We start from the raw sequence: 14119 nt of genomic DNA on the forward strand, positions 1-14119 counted from the left end.
CTGAAGATTTTAATACACATCTCTCTTCAATTGATAGAACGAGCAAACAAAAATCAGTAAGGATATAGAAGACAGAAAGAACATGACGAACACACTTGACGTAACGGAAACACAGGATACGCTGCACCTAATAACCGCAGCGCACCTACCTGCCGCACCTAGTAACCGCAGAGCGCCTACCTGCCGCACCTAGTAACCGCAGCGCACCTACCTGCCGCACCTAGTAACCGCAGAGTACCTACCTGCCGCACCTAGTAACCGCAGCGCGCCTACCTGCCGCACCTAGTAACCGCAGCGCGCCTACCTGCCGCACCTAGTAACCGCAGCGCGCCTACCTGCCGCACCTAGTAACCGCAGCGCGCCTACCTGCCGCACCTAGTAACCGCAGCGCGCCTACCTGCCGCACCTAGTAACCGCAGCGCGCCTACCTGCCGCACCTAGTAACCGCAGCGCGCCTACCTGCCGCACCTAGTAACCGCAGAGCGCCTACCTGCCGCACCTAGTAACCGCAGAGCGCCTACCTGCCGCACCTAGTAACCGCAGAGCGCCTACCTGCCGCACCTAGTAACCGCAGAGCGCCTACCTGCCGCACCTAGTAACCGCAGCGCGCCTACCTGCCGCACCTAGTAACCGCAGAGTACCTACCTGCCGCACCTAGTAACCGCAGCGCGCCTACCTGCCGCACCTAGTAACCGCAGCGCGCCTACCTGCCGCACCTAGTAACCGCAGCGCGCCTACCTGCCGCACCTAGTAACCGCAGCGCGCCTACCTGCCGCACCTAGTAACCGCAGCGCGCCTACCTGCCGCACCTAGTAACCGCAGCGCGCCTACCTGCCGCACCTAGTAACCGCAGCGCGCCTACCTGCCGCACCTAGTAACCGCAGCGCGCCTACCTGCCGCACCTAGTAACCGCAGAGCGCCTACCTGCCGCACCTAGTAACCGCAGAGCGCCTACCTGCCGCACCTAGTAACCGCAGAGCGCCTACCTGCCGCACCTAGTAACCGCAGAGCGCCTACCTGCCGCACCTAGTAACCGCAGCGCGCCTACCTGCCGCACCTAGTAACCGCAGCGCGCCTACCTGCCGCACCTAGTAACCGCAGCGCGCCTACCTGCCGCACCTAGTAACCGCAGCGCGCCTACCTGCCGCACCTAGTAACCGCAGCGCGCCTACCTGCCGCACCTAGTAACCGCAGCGCGCCTACCTGCCGCACCTAGTAACCGCAGAGCGCCTACCTGCCGCACCTAGTAACCGCAGCGCGCCTACCTGCCGCACCTAGTAACCGCAGCGCGCCTACCTGCCGCACCTAGTAACCGCAGAGCGCCTACCTGCCGCACCTAGTAACCGCAGAGCGCCTACCTGCCGCACCTAGTAACCGCAGAGCGCCTACCTGCCGCACCTAGTAACCGCAGAGCGCCTACCTGCCGCACCTAGTAACCGCAGCGCGCCTACCTGCCGCACCTAGTAACCGCAGCGCGCCTACCTGCCGCACCTAGTAACCGCAGCGCGCCTACCTGCCGCACCTAGTAACCGCAGCGCGCCTACCTGCCGCACCTAGTAACCGCAGCGCGCCTACCTGCCGCACCTAGTAACCGCAGAGCGCCTACCTGCCGCACCTCGGAACCGCAGAGCGCCTACCTGCCGCACCTCGGAACCGCAGAGCGCCTACCTGCCGCACCTCGGAACCGCAGAGCGCCTACCTGCCGCACCTCGGAACCGCAGAGCGCCTACCTGCCGCACCTCGGAACCGCAGAGCGCCTACCTGCCGCACCTCGGAACCGCAGAGCGCCTACCTGCCGCACCTCGGAACCGCAGAGCGCCTACCTGCCGCACCTCGGAACCGCAGCGCGCCTACCTGCCGCACCTCGGAACCGCAGCGCGCCTACCTGCCGCACCTCGGAACCGCAGCGCGCCTACCTGCCGCACCTCGGAACCGCAGCGCGCCTACCTGCCGCACCTCGGAACCGCAGCGCGCCTACCTGCCGCACCTAGTAACCGCAGCGCGCCTACCTGCCGCACCTAGTAACCGCAGAGCGCCTACCTGCCGCACCTAGTAACCGCAGAGCGCCTACCTGCCGCACCTAGTAACCGCAGAGCGCCTACCTGCCGCACCTAGTAACCGCAGAGCGCCTACCTGCCGCACCTAGTAACCGCAGAGCGCCTACCTGCCGCACCTAGTAACCGCAGCGCGCCTACCTGCCGCACCTAGTAACCGCAGCGCGCCTACCTGCCGCACCTAGTAACCGCAGCGCGCCTACCTGCCGCACCTAGTAACCGCAGCGCGCCTACCTGCCGCACCTAGTAACCGCAGCGCGCCTACCTGCCGCACCTAGTAACCGCAGCGCGCCTACCTGCCGCACCTAGTAACCGCAGCGCGCCTACCTGCCGCACCTAGTAACCGCAGCGCGCCTACCTGCCGCACCTAGTAACCGCAGCGCGCCTACCTGCCGCACCTAGTAACCGCAGCGCGCCTACCTGCCGCACCTAGTAACCGCAGCGCGCCTACCTGCCGCACCTAGTAACCGCAGCGCGCCTACCTGCCGCACCTAGTAACCGCAGCGCGCCTACCTGCCGCACCTAGTAACCGCAGAGCGCCTACCTGCCGCACCTCGGAACCGCAGAGCGCCTACCTGCCGCACCTAGGAACCGCAGAGCGCCTACCTGCCGCACCTAGGAACCGCAGAGCGCCTACCTGCCGCACCTAGTAACCGCAGAGCGCCTACCTGCCGCACCTAGGAACCGCAGAGCGCCTACCTGCCGCACCTAGTAACCGCAGAGCGCCTACCTGCCGCACCTAGGAACCGCAGAGCGCCTACCTGCCGCACCTAGTAACCGCAGAGCGCCTACCTGCCGCACCTAGTAACCGCAGAGCGCCTACCTGCCGCACCTAGTAACCGCAGAGCGCCTACCTGCCGCACCTAGTAACCGCAGAGCGCCTACCTGCCGCACCTAGTAACCGCAGAGCGCCTACCTGCCGCACCTAGTAACCGCAGCGCGCCTACCTGCCGCACCTAGTAACCGCAGCGCGCCTACCTGCCGCACCTAGTAACCGCAGCGCGCCTACCTGCCGCACCTAGTAACCGCAGCGCGCCTACCTGCCGCACCTAGTAACCGCAGCGCGCCTACCTGCCGCACCTAGTAACCGCAGCGCGCCTACCTGCCGCACCTAGTAACCGCAGCGCGCCTACCTGCCGCACCTAGTAACCGCAGCGCGCCTACCTGCCGCACCTAGTAACCGCAGCGCGCCTACCTGCCGCACCTAGTAACCGCAGCGCGCCTACCTGCCGCACCTAGTAACCGCAGCGCGCCTACCTGCCGCACCTAGTAACCGCAGCGCGCCTACCTGCCGCACCTAGTAACTGCAGAGCGCCTACCTGCCGCACCTAGTAACTGCAGCGCGCCTACCTGCCGCACCTAGTAACTGCAGCGCGCCTACCTGCCGCACCTAGTAACTGCAGCGCGCCTACCTCCTGCACCTAGTAACTGCAGAGTACCTACCTGCCGCACCTAGTAACTGCAGAGTACCTACCTGCCGCACCTAGTAACTGTAGCGTACCTACCTGCTGCACCTAGTAACTGCAGAGTACCTACCTGCTGCACCTAGTAACTGCAGTGCACCTACCTTTAAAGGCTTTTCAAGAACATACAGAGCATTTTCAAAAACTGACCATGTGCTGGGAAATCAAATAAGTCTCAATTTAAAAGGATTGTAATCATAAAAATGTCCTCTGAGTATATTTCAATTATGTTCAAAATTAATTTTAAAAAGGTAATTGGAAAATCTTATGTGGTTAGAAGTAACGAAATATACTTTTAAATATCCCTTGGATCAAAAAAAATAAATCACAATGGTATTTAGAAAATATTTTTCACTGAAGGCTAACAAAACACTACATATTAAAATTATAAAATGCACTTTGCAAAGGAGTACTTAATATAACCTTAAATAAATAAATATTTCATATATATATATATATATATGAAGAAAGGCTGAAAATTAATTAGCCAAACATTATCTGAAGAAGATAGCAAATAAACCTAGAGAAAAAAGAAGTAAATAATAAGGAAAAGAGCATAAATTAATGCCGCAGAAAGTAACTAACAGCGGATCAAAAAATCCAAATATTGGTTATTCGAAAGGCTAATACAATAGACTAATTAAGACTGATAGAGCCAGGTGTGAGGTAATCCCAGTTACTTGGGTGGCTGGGGTGAGAGGATCGTTTGAGGCCAGGAGTTTGAGACCAGCCTAGGCCACACAGTGAGACCCCATCTCTAAAAAAATAAAATAAAAAATTAATGAGACATGGTGGCATGTGCCAGTAGTCCCATGAAGGCTGAGATGGGAGGACTGCTTGAGCCCAGGAGTTTGAGGCTGGAGTAAGCTATGATCATGCCGCTGCACTCCAACCTGGGCAACAGAGTGAGACCCTACTTCTGAGAAAAAAAAGAAAAAAAAGACTGACAAAAAAGGAGACAAGATTGAAATCCATGAATAAGGAGGAATCACTATAGGTCCTGCAGACATCAAATGTTATTAAGAGAATATTATGAACAACTTTTTGTTAATTATTTTAAAATTTAGGTAAAATGGACCAATGTCTTTAAAAAGTTCAATTTAGCAAAGCTAACTCAAATAGAGATAGAAACTTAGAATATTCCTGTAACTATTAAAAGAAGCAGTGATAAAAAAAGAAAACTTCCTATAGAGAAAACCCCACAGAGAGCTTCATCAATGATTTCTGCCAAATATTCAATGAAGAAATTATGTCAATCTTATACAGTTTTCTCTAGATAATAGAGAAGAGAGAACTCTTCCAGATTCACTTTGTGTAAGCATAACCTTGATTCCCAAAACTGGAAAATAAGGTACAAGAAAGGAAAATTACAGACCAATCTTGTTTAACAGTATAGATGCAAAAGTTCTAAATAAAATACTATAAACAAACTCAATTCATCAAAGAACAAACGCAAAATTCGGTTTCTGCCAAGAATGCAAAGTTAGTTTAACTTTATGAAAATCTGTCATTATAATTTATTACATTGTCTTCTTAAATGAGAAAAAGATATATCTTTTCAATAGATGCAGATAAATCTGTTGATAAAATGTAATGTTTATTCATGATTAAAAATGCTAGCAAGTCAGAAAAGAAATTCCTTTTCTGATAATAAGGTATCTTGAAACGAACAGAAGTTTTGTACTTATTTTAACAAAATGTTAACAGCCTTTTTTTTTTTTTTTTGAGGCAAGGTCTTACTCTGTTGCCTAGGCTGGAGTGCAGTGGCGTGATCACGGCTTACTGTATCCTTGACCTCCCAGGCCGAAGCAATCCTCTCACCTCAGCCCCCTGAGGGACCACAGGCATGCACCACCATGCCTGGCTAATTTGTATTTTTTGTAGAGACAGGATTTTGCCATGTTGCCCAGGCTGGTCTCAAACTCATGAGCTCAAGCCATCTGCCCTCTTCAGCTTCCCAAAGTGCTGGAATTACAAGGCATGAGCCACTGTGTCCAGCCCACCTTTCTCTGAAATAATATGCAAGACCAAGCTACTTACCACCCCTATTTCTGGTCAGCCTGGTACTGGAGGCCCTAGCTATTTTAGTAGAGCAAGAAAAAGAAAGAAGAGATATAGGATTGGAAAAGAAGAAACAAAACTGTTCATAGGTTATAGGATGTGTACATAGAAAAACTCAAAAGTATCTTTTAAATTAATAATAGTTTAGTTATAAAAATCAATATATAAAAATAAATCTTACAAAAGGTATGTAGTAACTCTAAAAGTATAACCTTAATTGAGAGACATAAGACCAAAGTAAGTGAAGAAATATACCATTTACTTTGTGATTCGGAAGTCACCATAGTACGAAGATGTCAGCTCTTCTCAAATTGATCTATAGAATCAATGCAATCTCAACCAATATCTCAAGTTTTTTTTTTTTTTTTTTTTTTTTTTTGAGACAGAGTCTCGCTCTGTCTCCCAGGCTGGAGTGCAGTGGCATGATCTCGGCTCACTGCAAGCTCTGCCTCCTGGGTTCATACAATTCTCCTGCCTCAGTCTCCTGAGTAGCTGGGACTACAGGCGCCCACCACCACACCCAGCGAATTTTTTTTTTTTTTAATAGAGACGGTGTTTCACCGTGTCAGCTAAGATGGTCTCGATCTCCCGACCTCGTGATCTGCCCGTCTCAGCCTCCCAGAGTGCTGGGATTACAGGTGTGAGGCACCGTGCCCAGCCAAGTATTTTGTTTTGTTTTGTTTTGTTTTTGAGACAGAGTCTTGCTCTGTTGCCCACGCTGGAGTTCAGAGGCGCAATCTCGGCTCACTGAAACCTCTGCCTCCCGCGTTCAAGCAATTCTCCTACCTCAGCCTCCCGAGTAGCTGGGATTAAAAGCGTGCGCCACCATGCCCGGCTAATTTTTGTATTTTTAGTAGACATGGGGTTTCACTATGTTGGCCAGGCTGGTCTCAAACTCCTGACCTCAAATGGTCCGCCTGCCTTGGCCTCCCAAAGGGCTGGGATTACAGGTGTGAGCCACCACGCCCAGCCTATATCTCAACCTTTTAGTTTTGTGTGTGTGTGGCAAGTGGGTGTGAGGAGTGGAACTTGACAAACCTACTCTGAAATCCATATGAAAAGGTAAAGAAGAGAATAAGATCAGCCAGGATGCCCTTGAAGAAGGACAAGACTAGTAGTGAAGGGTTTGCCTTATCAGATTCTTGTCAAGAATTATTATAAAGCTATATTAAAAAGACAGTGGTATTGGTGTAGGTTGGACAGATACTGTTGGAATGGAGTTGAAAACCCATAGATCTACACATACCTAGAAACTTGATTTTCACAGAGATGGCACTGTAGAGCAGTGGGGAAGTGACAGTCTTTTCAGTAAATGGTGCTGAGACAACTGGGTATCCACATGGTACAGAAATGAAATTGGGCTTCTACCTTACACCATACCAAAAAATCAGCTCCAGGTTGATTACTGACAGAAATGTGAAAGATAAAATTATAAAGCTATTGGAAAATATAGGAGAATTTGTCCATATCCTCAGGGTAGGGGATCCTCAACAGTATACAAAAGCATTAGCTGTAGTGGTAAGAACTGATAAATTTTAAAATTTATAAAATTTTAAATGAATGTTTAAAACGAATTTATAAACGAATTCATTGTAAAATTCTATAAATTATTTATAAATAAATTTATACATTTATAAATTTAGAAGATTTTTAAATGAATGTATACATTCATTTTAAAACTTTTATTCATCAAAATAAACCATTAAGAGAATGGAGGCAGGGCATGGTGGCTCATGCCTGTAATCCCAGCACTTTGGGAGGCTGAGGTGGGAGGATCGCTTGAGGCCAGGAGTTTGAGACTAGCCTGGGCAACATAGTGAGACCTCCTCTTTACAAATAATAATTAAGAAATTAGCTGGGCGTGGTGGTGCCCACTTTCGGTCCCAGCTACTCAGGAGGCTGAGATGAGATGACTGCTTGGGCCCAGGAGGCTGCGCCATTGCGCTCCAGCCTGGGTTACTGAATGAGACCCCATCTCCAATAAATAAATAAATAAATAAACCAGTCACAGAATGGGAGAAGTGCAACACACACATAACTGACAAAGGACTTGAATACATAAAATCTAGAGAAATTGTATAAATCGGAAAGGAAAAGATATGCAACCCAGTTAAAACAGGGATGAAATAGCTGAATGGGCACTTCACCAAAGAGAATAAATACACCAAAAAAGTGCACAACTTTACTGGTAATTAGAGAAATGCAAATTAAAACCACAATAAGATAATATGTGTCTAAACATTGGCAAATATGGCAAGGCTTTTCTAAACAACATGAAATAAATCCAAATAAACAGTGAAATGTGTTTATGGATGGAAAGACTTGACATACTAAAGCTGTCTATTCTCCCCAACATGATTTATAAAAGGAGTGCAATCCTAATTAAAAGCACAACCAAATTCTTTATGGAATTCAACAAGCTGACTCTTAAGTTACACAAAATGTACAAAGATAGCTAAGAAAATTCTGAAGGAGGAGATCAGAACAGTGTAGACTACAGCAAGGATAATCAAATAGATTAATAGAAAAGGTGAGTCTTTGCAGGTTGGGTTTTCCAGAAGCAGCCACTGAGTTGGAGATTGGGGTGCAAGGAAGGAGTGGGAAGCAGGAATGAGCAGAGGAAGAAGTCAGAAGGCAACGAAGCCTGACAGCTCTGGCAGCCGGGAGCACTGAGCAAATGCCCCTCAGGCTTGTCCCACGTCAGACTGAAATGGCCAAGGCTTTATCCCCTCGCCTTTCTCAGTCACTGGCTCAGAAGGGGAGTACCTGGGGCAAAGGAGTTCACAGCTGCAGGCTGTTTGTTCACTCAGCTCCTTGCAACAGGGCAGCAAATCCCTCCTTGAGGGGGAATCTGAGAGGCCCATCACTGTGTCTACCACAAAGTCCAAAATCAATCCATGTATGTTTCTTAAGCCACACACAAAATTCGCAAGGTATAAAGAAAAAGATTATTGTATATGACTTCATGAAAATGGAAAGGTAGTCAAAAAGGAGAAATTGTGTTTAGCAAAGGATTAATATCCAGGATATTTAATAGAGTGCCTACAAATAAAAAACAAAAATAGGCCGGGTGCGGTGGCTGACGCCTGTAATCCCAGCACTTTGGGAGGCCGAGGCTGGTGGATCACGAGATCAGGAGATCGAGACCATCCTGGCTAACATGGTGAAACCCCATCTCTACTAAAAATACAAAAAATTAGCCAGGCGTGGTGGCAGGCACCTGCAGTCCCAGCTACTTGGGAGGCTGAGGCAGGAGAATGGTGTGAACCCAGGAGGCGGAGCTTGCAGTGAGCCGAGATGGAGCCACTGCACTCCAGCCTGGGTGACAAAGTGAGACTCCGTCTCAAAAAAACAAACAAAAAAACCAAAATAAAAGAAAAATAATAGACAAAGAACATAGACAATTCAAAAAAGAAACTGAACAACATACTTCAGAAAAGATATTTGGCCTCGCCAACAGAGAAAGGCAAAATGAACCCGTTACAATTTTTCATCCATTAGATTGAAATTTTTGAAAGATTAGTGATACAGTGTGTTGGTGAAAATGCAGAATAACAAGCAGTCTTCTGCAGTGTTGGTAAGAGTGGCGAAGTTTATTAGAAGGTGAGGCACCCAACAAACTCCACAAGCCCATAAGTTTGGCTGCAGTTCTACTCTCAGTAATCTATACTGCTCACGTGCACTCAAAGATGTAGTTTCCATTCTTTGCACCTTAGTTTATAAGAGTGAAAAATTAGAAACAACTCAAATGTCCATAAGTAACTGCCCTAAATTATGATTCATCTAAACTACAGAATACTAATAGCCATTTAAAAGAAAGAGGTGGAAACTAACATGTAATGATATAGAAAGATCTTCAAGATTAGCTGTTAGTGAAAAAAATAAGTCACAAAACAATACTTACAGTGTGGTCCTTTTAATGTTAAAGATATATATATTTTGGCCTGGTGCAGTGGCTCATGCCTGTAATTCCAGCACTATGGGAGGCGGAGTTGTACAGATCACTTGAGGTGAGGAGTTGGAGACCAGCTGGCCAACATGGTAAAACCCCGTCTCTACTAATAATACAAAAAAAACTGGCCAGGTATGGTGGTGCATGTCCATAATCCCAGCTACTCAGGAGGCTGAGGCATGAGAATTGCTTGAACCCGGGAGGTGGAGGTTGCAGTGAGCCAAGATTGTGCCACTACACTCCATCCTGGGCAACAGAGTGAAACTGTGTCTCAAATATATATATATTTCTGGAATGTGTGTGCAAATTCCTAGAGAGAGAATAAGAGTGATATGCATCACACTCTGGATAAGGCTTACCTCTAGAGAATGGAAGAGTAGGTGCTGAAGGAATGTTTGGATGTTATTCTATGTGATTCTGCATTGTTTGAATCTTTGGGGGTTTTTTTGGTTTTCTTTTTGAGACGGTCTTACTCTGTCACCCAGGCTGGAGTGCAGTGACACAATCTGGGCTCACTACAACCTCCACCTCCCGGGTTCAAGTGATTCTCGTGCCTCAGCCTCCCGAGTAGCTGGGATTACAGGCGTGTACCACCACACCCAGCTAATTTTTTTGTACTTTTAGTAGAGATGGGGTTTCACCATGTTGGCCAGGCTGGTCTTGAACTCCTGACCTCAAGCGATCTGCTCGCCTCGGCCTCCTAGAGTGCTGGGATTACAGGCGTGAGCCACCATGTCTGGCCTGTTTGAATCTTTCAAAAGGACTTTGTACTTAACATATTTGTGTAATAAAAATAACTATAAAAAGAAAATCAATTTGATAAAATTAAAATAACAAAAATACTTTTCATATTAGGCTAAGCAGGGTGGCTCGTGCCTGTAATCTCAGCACTTTGGGAGGCTGAGGTGGGTGGATTTCTTGAGGCCAGTTCAAAACCAGCAACATGGCAAAAACCGATCTCTACAAAAAACACAAAAATTAGCCAAGCGTGGTGGCGCATGCCTGTTGTCCCAGCTACACAGGAGGCTGAGGTGGCAGGCTCTCTTGAGCCTGGAGGTTGAGCCTGCACTCTAGCCTGGAGGACACAGTGAGACTCTGTCTCAAGAAAAAAAACAACAAAAAACCCTTTTCATGTTAATTAAAAACAATAAACATACAGCTGGGTGAGGTGGCTCATGCCTGTAATCCCAGCTCTTTGGGAGGACAAGCTGGGAGGATTGCTTGAGCCCAGGAGTTGGAGGTTTCAGTGAGCTATGACCATGCCACTGCACTCCTGCCTGGGCGACAGAGGCAGATTTGATCTCTAAAAATAAACATGCAAAGAGACAAAAACAATATATAGAATGCTACAAAGTGTGAACATAATTAATACCCTCTGTCATTCTCCCCTAGATCATGCATGTATTCATTTAGCTAGTATTTTTGACCACTTATTTATATAGCAGACAATCGTTAACAGCAAAATACAAATAAAACTAGGAAAAAAAAAACTTGAAGGAAAAATACCAAAGTGTTAACATTTTATCTTTGGGTGTAGGGCAAAACTATGGATAGGTTTTAAGAATATATAATTTTCTATGTTTTCTATAATGAGGATTATTGCTCCTATAAGGAAAAAGTTTTTTACTGTGGCAAAATATACTTAACATAAAATTCTCTATTTTAACCATTTTTAAGTGAACAATCCAGTGGCATTAAGTACATTCATAATGTTGTGCGGCCATTACCACTATCTATATCTAGAACTTTTTTATCATCCCAAACTGAAACTCTGTACCTGCTAAACGGTAACTCCCCATTCCTCCCTCTCCCAGCCCCTGGTAGCTTCTATTCTGTTTTCTGTCTCTGAATTCTAGGTAGCTCCTAGCAAAAGGATCACACAATGTATTTCCTTTGGAGTCTGGCATATTTCACTTAGCATAATGTTTTCAAGGTTCATCTGTTTCATAGCATGTATCAGAATTTCATTCCCTTTTATGGCTGAATAACATTCCATCATATGGATATACAGGTTGAACATCCCTAAACCCAAAATCCAAAATTCAAAATCCTCCAAAATCTGAAACGTTTTGAGTGCCAGCATGATGCCACAAGTGGAAAATACCACACCTGACACCTCTGCTTTCTGATAGTTCAGTATCCTCAAACTTTGTTTCATGCACAAAATTATTAAAATATGGTATAAAGTGACCTTCAGGCTATGTGTATAAGGTGCATATGAAACACAAATAAACTTCATGTTTAGACTTAGGTCCTCTCCCCACGATCTGTCATTCTGTACATGCAAATATTCCCAAATTGGAAACAATCCAAAATCCAAAACACTTCTAATCCCAAGCATTTTGGATAAGGGATACTACACCTGCACCATATTTTGAGTTCCTGCCTTCAGTTCTTTGGGGTATATATATCCGGGTGTGGAATTGCTAGATCATATGGTAATTCTATGTATAACTTTTTGTTTTTCTGAGACAGAGTCTCCCTCTGTTGCCCAGGCTGGAATGCAGTGGCACCATCTCGGCTCACTGCAACCTCCGCCTCCCGGGTTCAAGCGATTCTCCTGCCTCACCTTCCCGAGTAGCTGGGATTACAGGCATACACCACCACGCCCGGCTAGTTTTTTGTATTTTTAGTAGAGATGGGGTGGTTTCACCATGTTGTCCAGGCTGGTCTCAAACTCCTAACCTCAGGTGATCTGAGGTCCCAAAGTGCTGGGATTACAGGCGTGAGCTCCCATGCCCGGCCATGTTTAACTTTTAAGTACTGTTAAAATTGTTTTACATGGTAGCTACACCATTTTATATTCCCCACCAGCAATGCACAAGGATTCTAATTTCTCCACCATCTTACCAACACTTTTTATTTACCATTTTTATATTATAGTCACTCTAAGGAGTGTGAAAGTGTACCTCATGGTGGTTTTGACTTGCATTTCCCTATGACTCATGATGTTGAGCATCTTCATGGCTTATTGGCCATTTGTATATCTTCTATGGAGAAACTGCTATTCAAGTTCTTTGCCCATTTTTGAATTGGGTTGTTTGTTTTTTGTTGTTGAGTTGTAGGATTTTTTTTTTTTATGTTCTGGATTTCATCCGTTTTCAGATATATATTGTTTGCAACTTTTTCCCCATTATTTTATTTTATTTATTTATTTTTTTTTTGGAGACAGAATCTTGCTCTGTCGCCACCCAGACTGGAGTGCAGTGGCAGAATGTTGGTTCACTGCAACCTCTGCCTCCCAGGTTCAAGAGATAACTCCTGCCTCAGCCTCCCGAGTAGCTAGGACTACAGGCACACACCATCATGCCTGGTTAGTTTTTGTATTTTTAGTAGAGACAAGGTTTCACCATGTTGGCCTGGCAGGTCTCGAACTCCTGACCTCATGGGATCCACCTGCCTTGGCCTCCCAAAGTATTTTTTCCTTATTCTGTAGGTTATCTTTTTACTCTTTTCATAGTATCCTTTGATGCACAGAAGCTTTTAATTCTGATGTATTATTTTTACTCTTTACTTTTGTTTGTGCTTTTGTGTCATAACCAAGAAATCGCTGCCAAGTCCAATGTCATGAAGCTTTTTCCCTGTGTTTTCTTCTAAGAATTTTTGTGGCACTAGCCCTTAAATTAAGTCTTTGATCCATTGTGAGTTAATTTTTATATGGTATGAAATAAGGGTCCAACTTCATTATTTCATATGTGTATATTCAGTTTTCCCCCATCGAATGCTCTTGGCAACCTTGTCAAAAATCAATTGGCCATTTATAGGAGGGTTTATTCCTAGGCTTTCCATTCTGCCCCACTGGCATATGTGCCTGTCTTTATGCCAGTCCTACGCTGTTTTGAATACTGTAGCTTTGTAGTAAGTTTTGAAATCAGGAAGTGTGAGTCCTACAACCTTGTTCTTTTTAAAGATCATTTTGGCTATTTGGGAAAAACATTAATTTTAAAAAATTACTACTTGTAAGATCTGTGTGAAATTTCTACCTTCTGAAAATATGAATTCTTCTCGTTAAAATTTTCTGGGACTCTATTTCCTGCTGTTCACTAAAGTGTGTATTTATGCTCTTAATTATAGAAAGAGTATTCAAACGAAAATGCAGTTGTGAAGAGAATGCAGTCTCTTCAACTTGATTGTGTGGCAGTACCTTCAAGCCGGTCAAATTCAGGTAAATTACACTATGGTCAAAATCTATTCATTTATTTGTTTGGTTACTCATTCACTCCACTCTCTAAAAGACTATTCAGGACCATATGGGAAACAGAAGAAACTATAAAAGTGAACACCTGCCTTACAGGAATTTATAATAATATTCGAGAGTCAAGTTACATGTATTTGAAATATGAAGTAACAGTGTGCTCACCAGTCATAGAGTGTTCTGAACAAAAGGCCTAATATATCTGATGGGGAGAAGTGACAGTTCAGAAGAAGGAAGGGGACATATGTGAGAGCAAAGTCCCTGAGGAGCTCGGAGTGACTTACAGCCAGGGTACAAGCAGAGAGGCTGGTCTCAGGTCAAGTAGGGATACTTTTTTCACTGTAACAAAAGGGATGGCAGAGTATAGGATACTGAAGCCGCTTAGCTACCTGAT

At 46.0% G+C, this 14119-nt stretch overlaps 1 protein-coding gene across 15 annotated transcripts in view; it reads left to right on the plus strand.

Moving 5' to 3' along the window:
* Positions 1-14119, plus strand: part of RIPK1 (receptor interacting serine/threonine kinase 1) — a 51221-nt gene that overhangs the window by 26654 nt on the left and 10448 nt on the right. For 12 of the 15 annotated variants that reach the window (XM_047419447.1, XM_047419448.1, NM_001317061.3 and 9 more), the window contains one exon: positions 13605-13695. In XM_047419447.1, the coding sequence (XP_047275403.1) occupies positions 13605-13695 (91 nt within the window). Of the gene's footprint in view, positions 1-37; positions 2053-2610; positions 3769-13604; positions 13696-14119 lie in introns of those variants that run through there. The other 3 variants (XM_017011404.3, XM_017011405.2, XM_006715237.4) reach the window with 3 other exon arrangements.

Source organism: Homo sapiens, chromosome 6 (genome assembly GCF_000001405.40).
Source record: "Homo sapiens chromosome 6, GRCh38.p14 Primary Assembly".
NCBI classification, from domain to species: domain Eukaryota; kingdom Metazoa; phylum Chordata; class Mammalia; order Primates; family Hominidae; genus Homo; species Homo sapiens.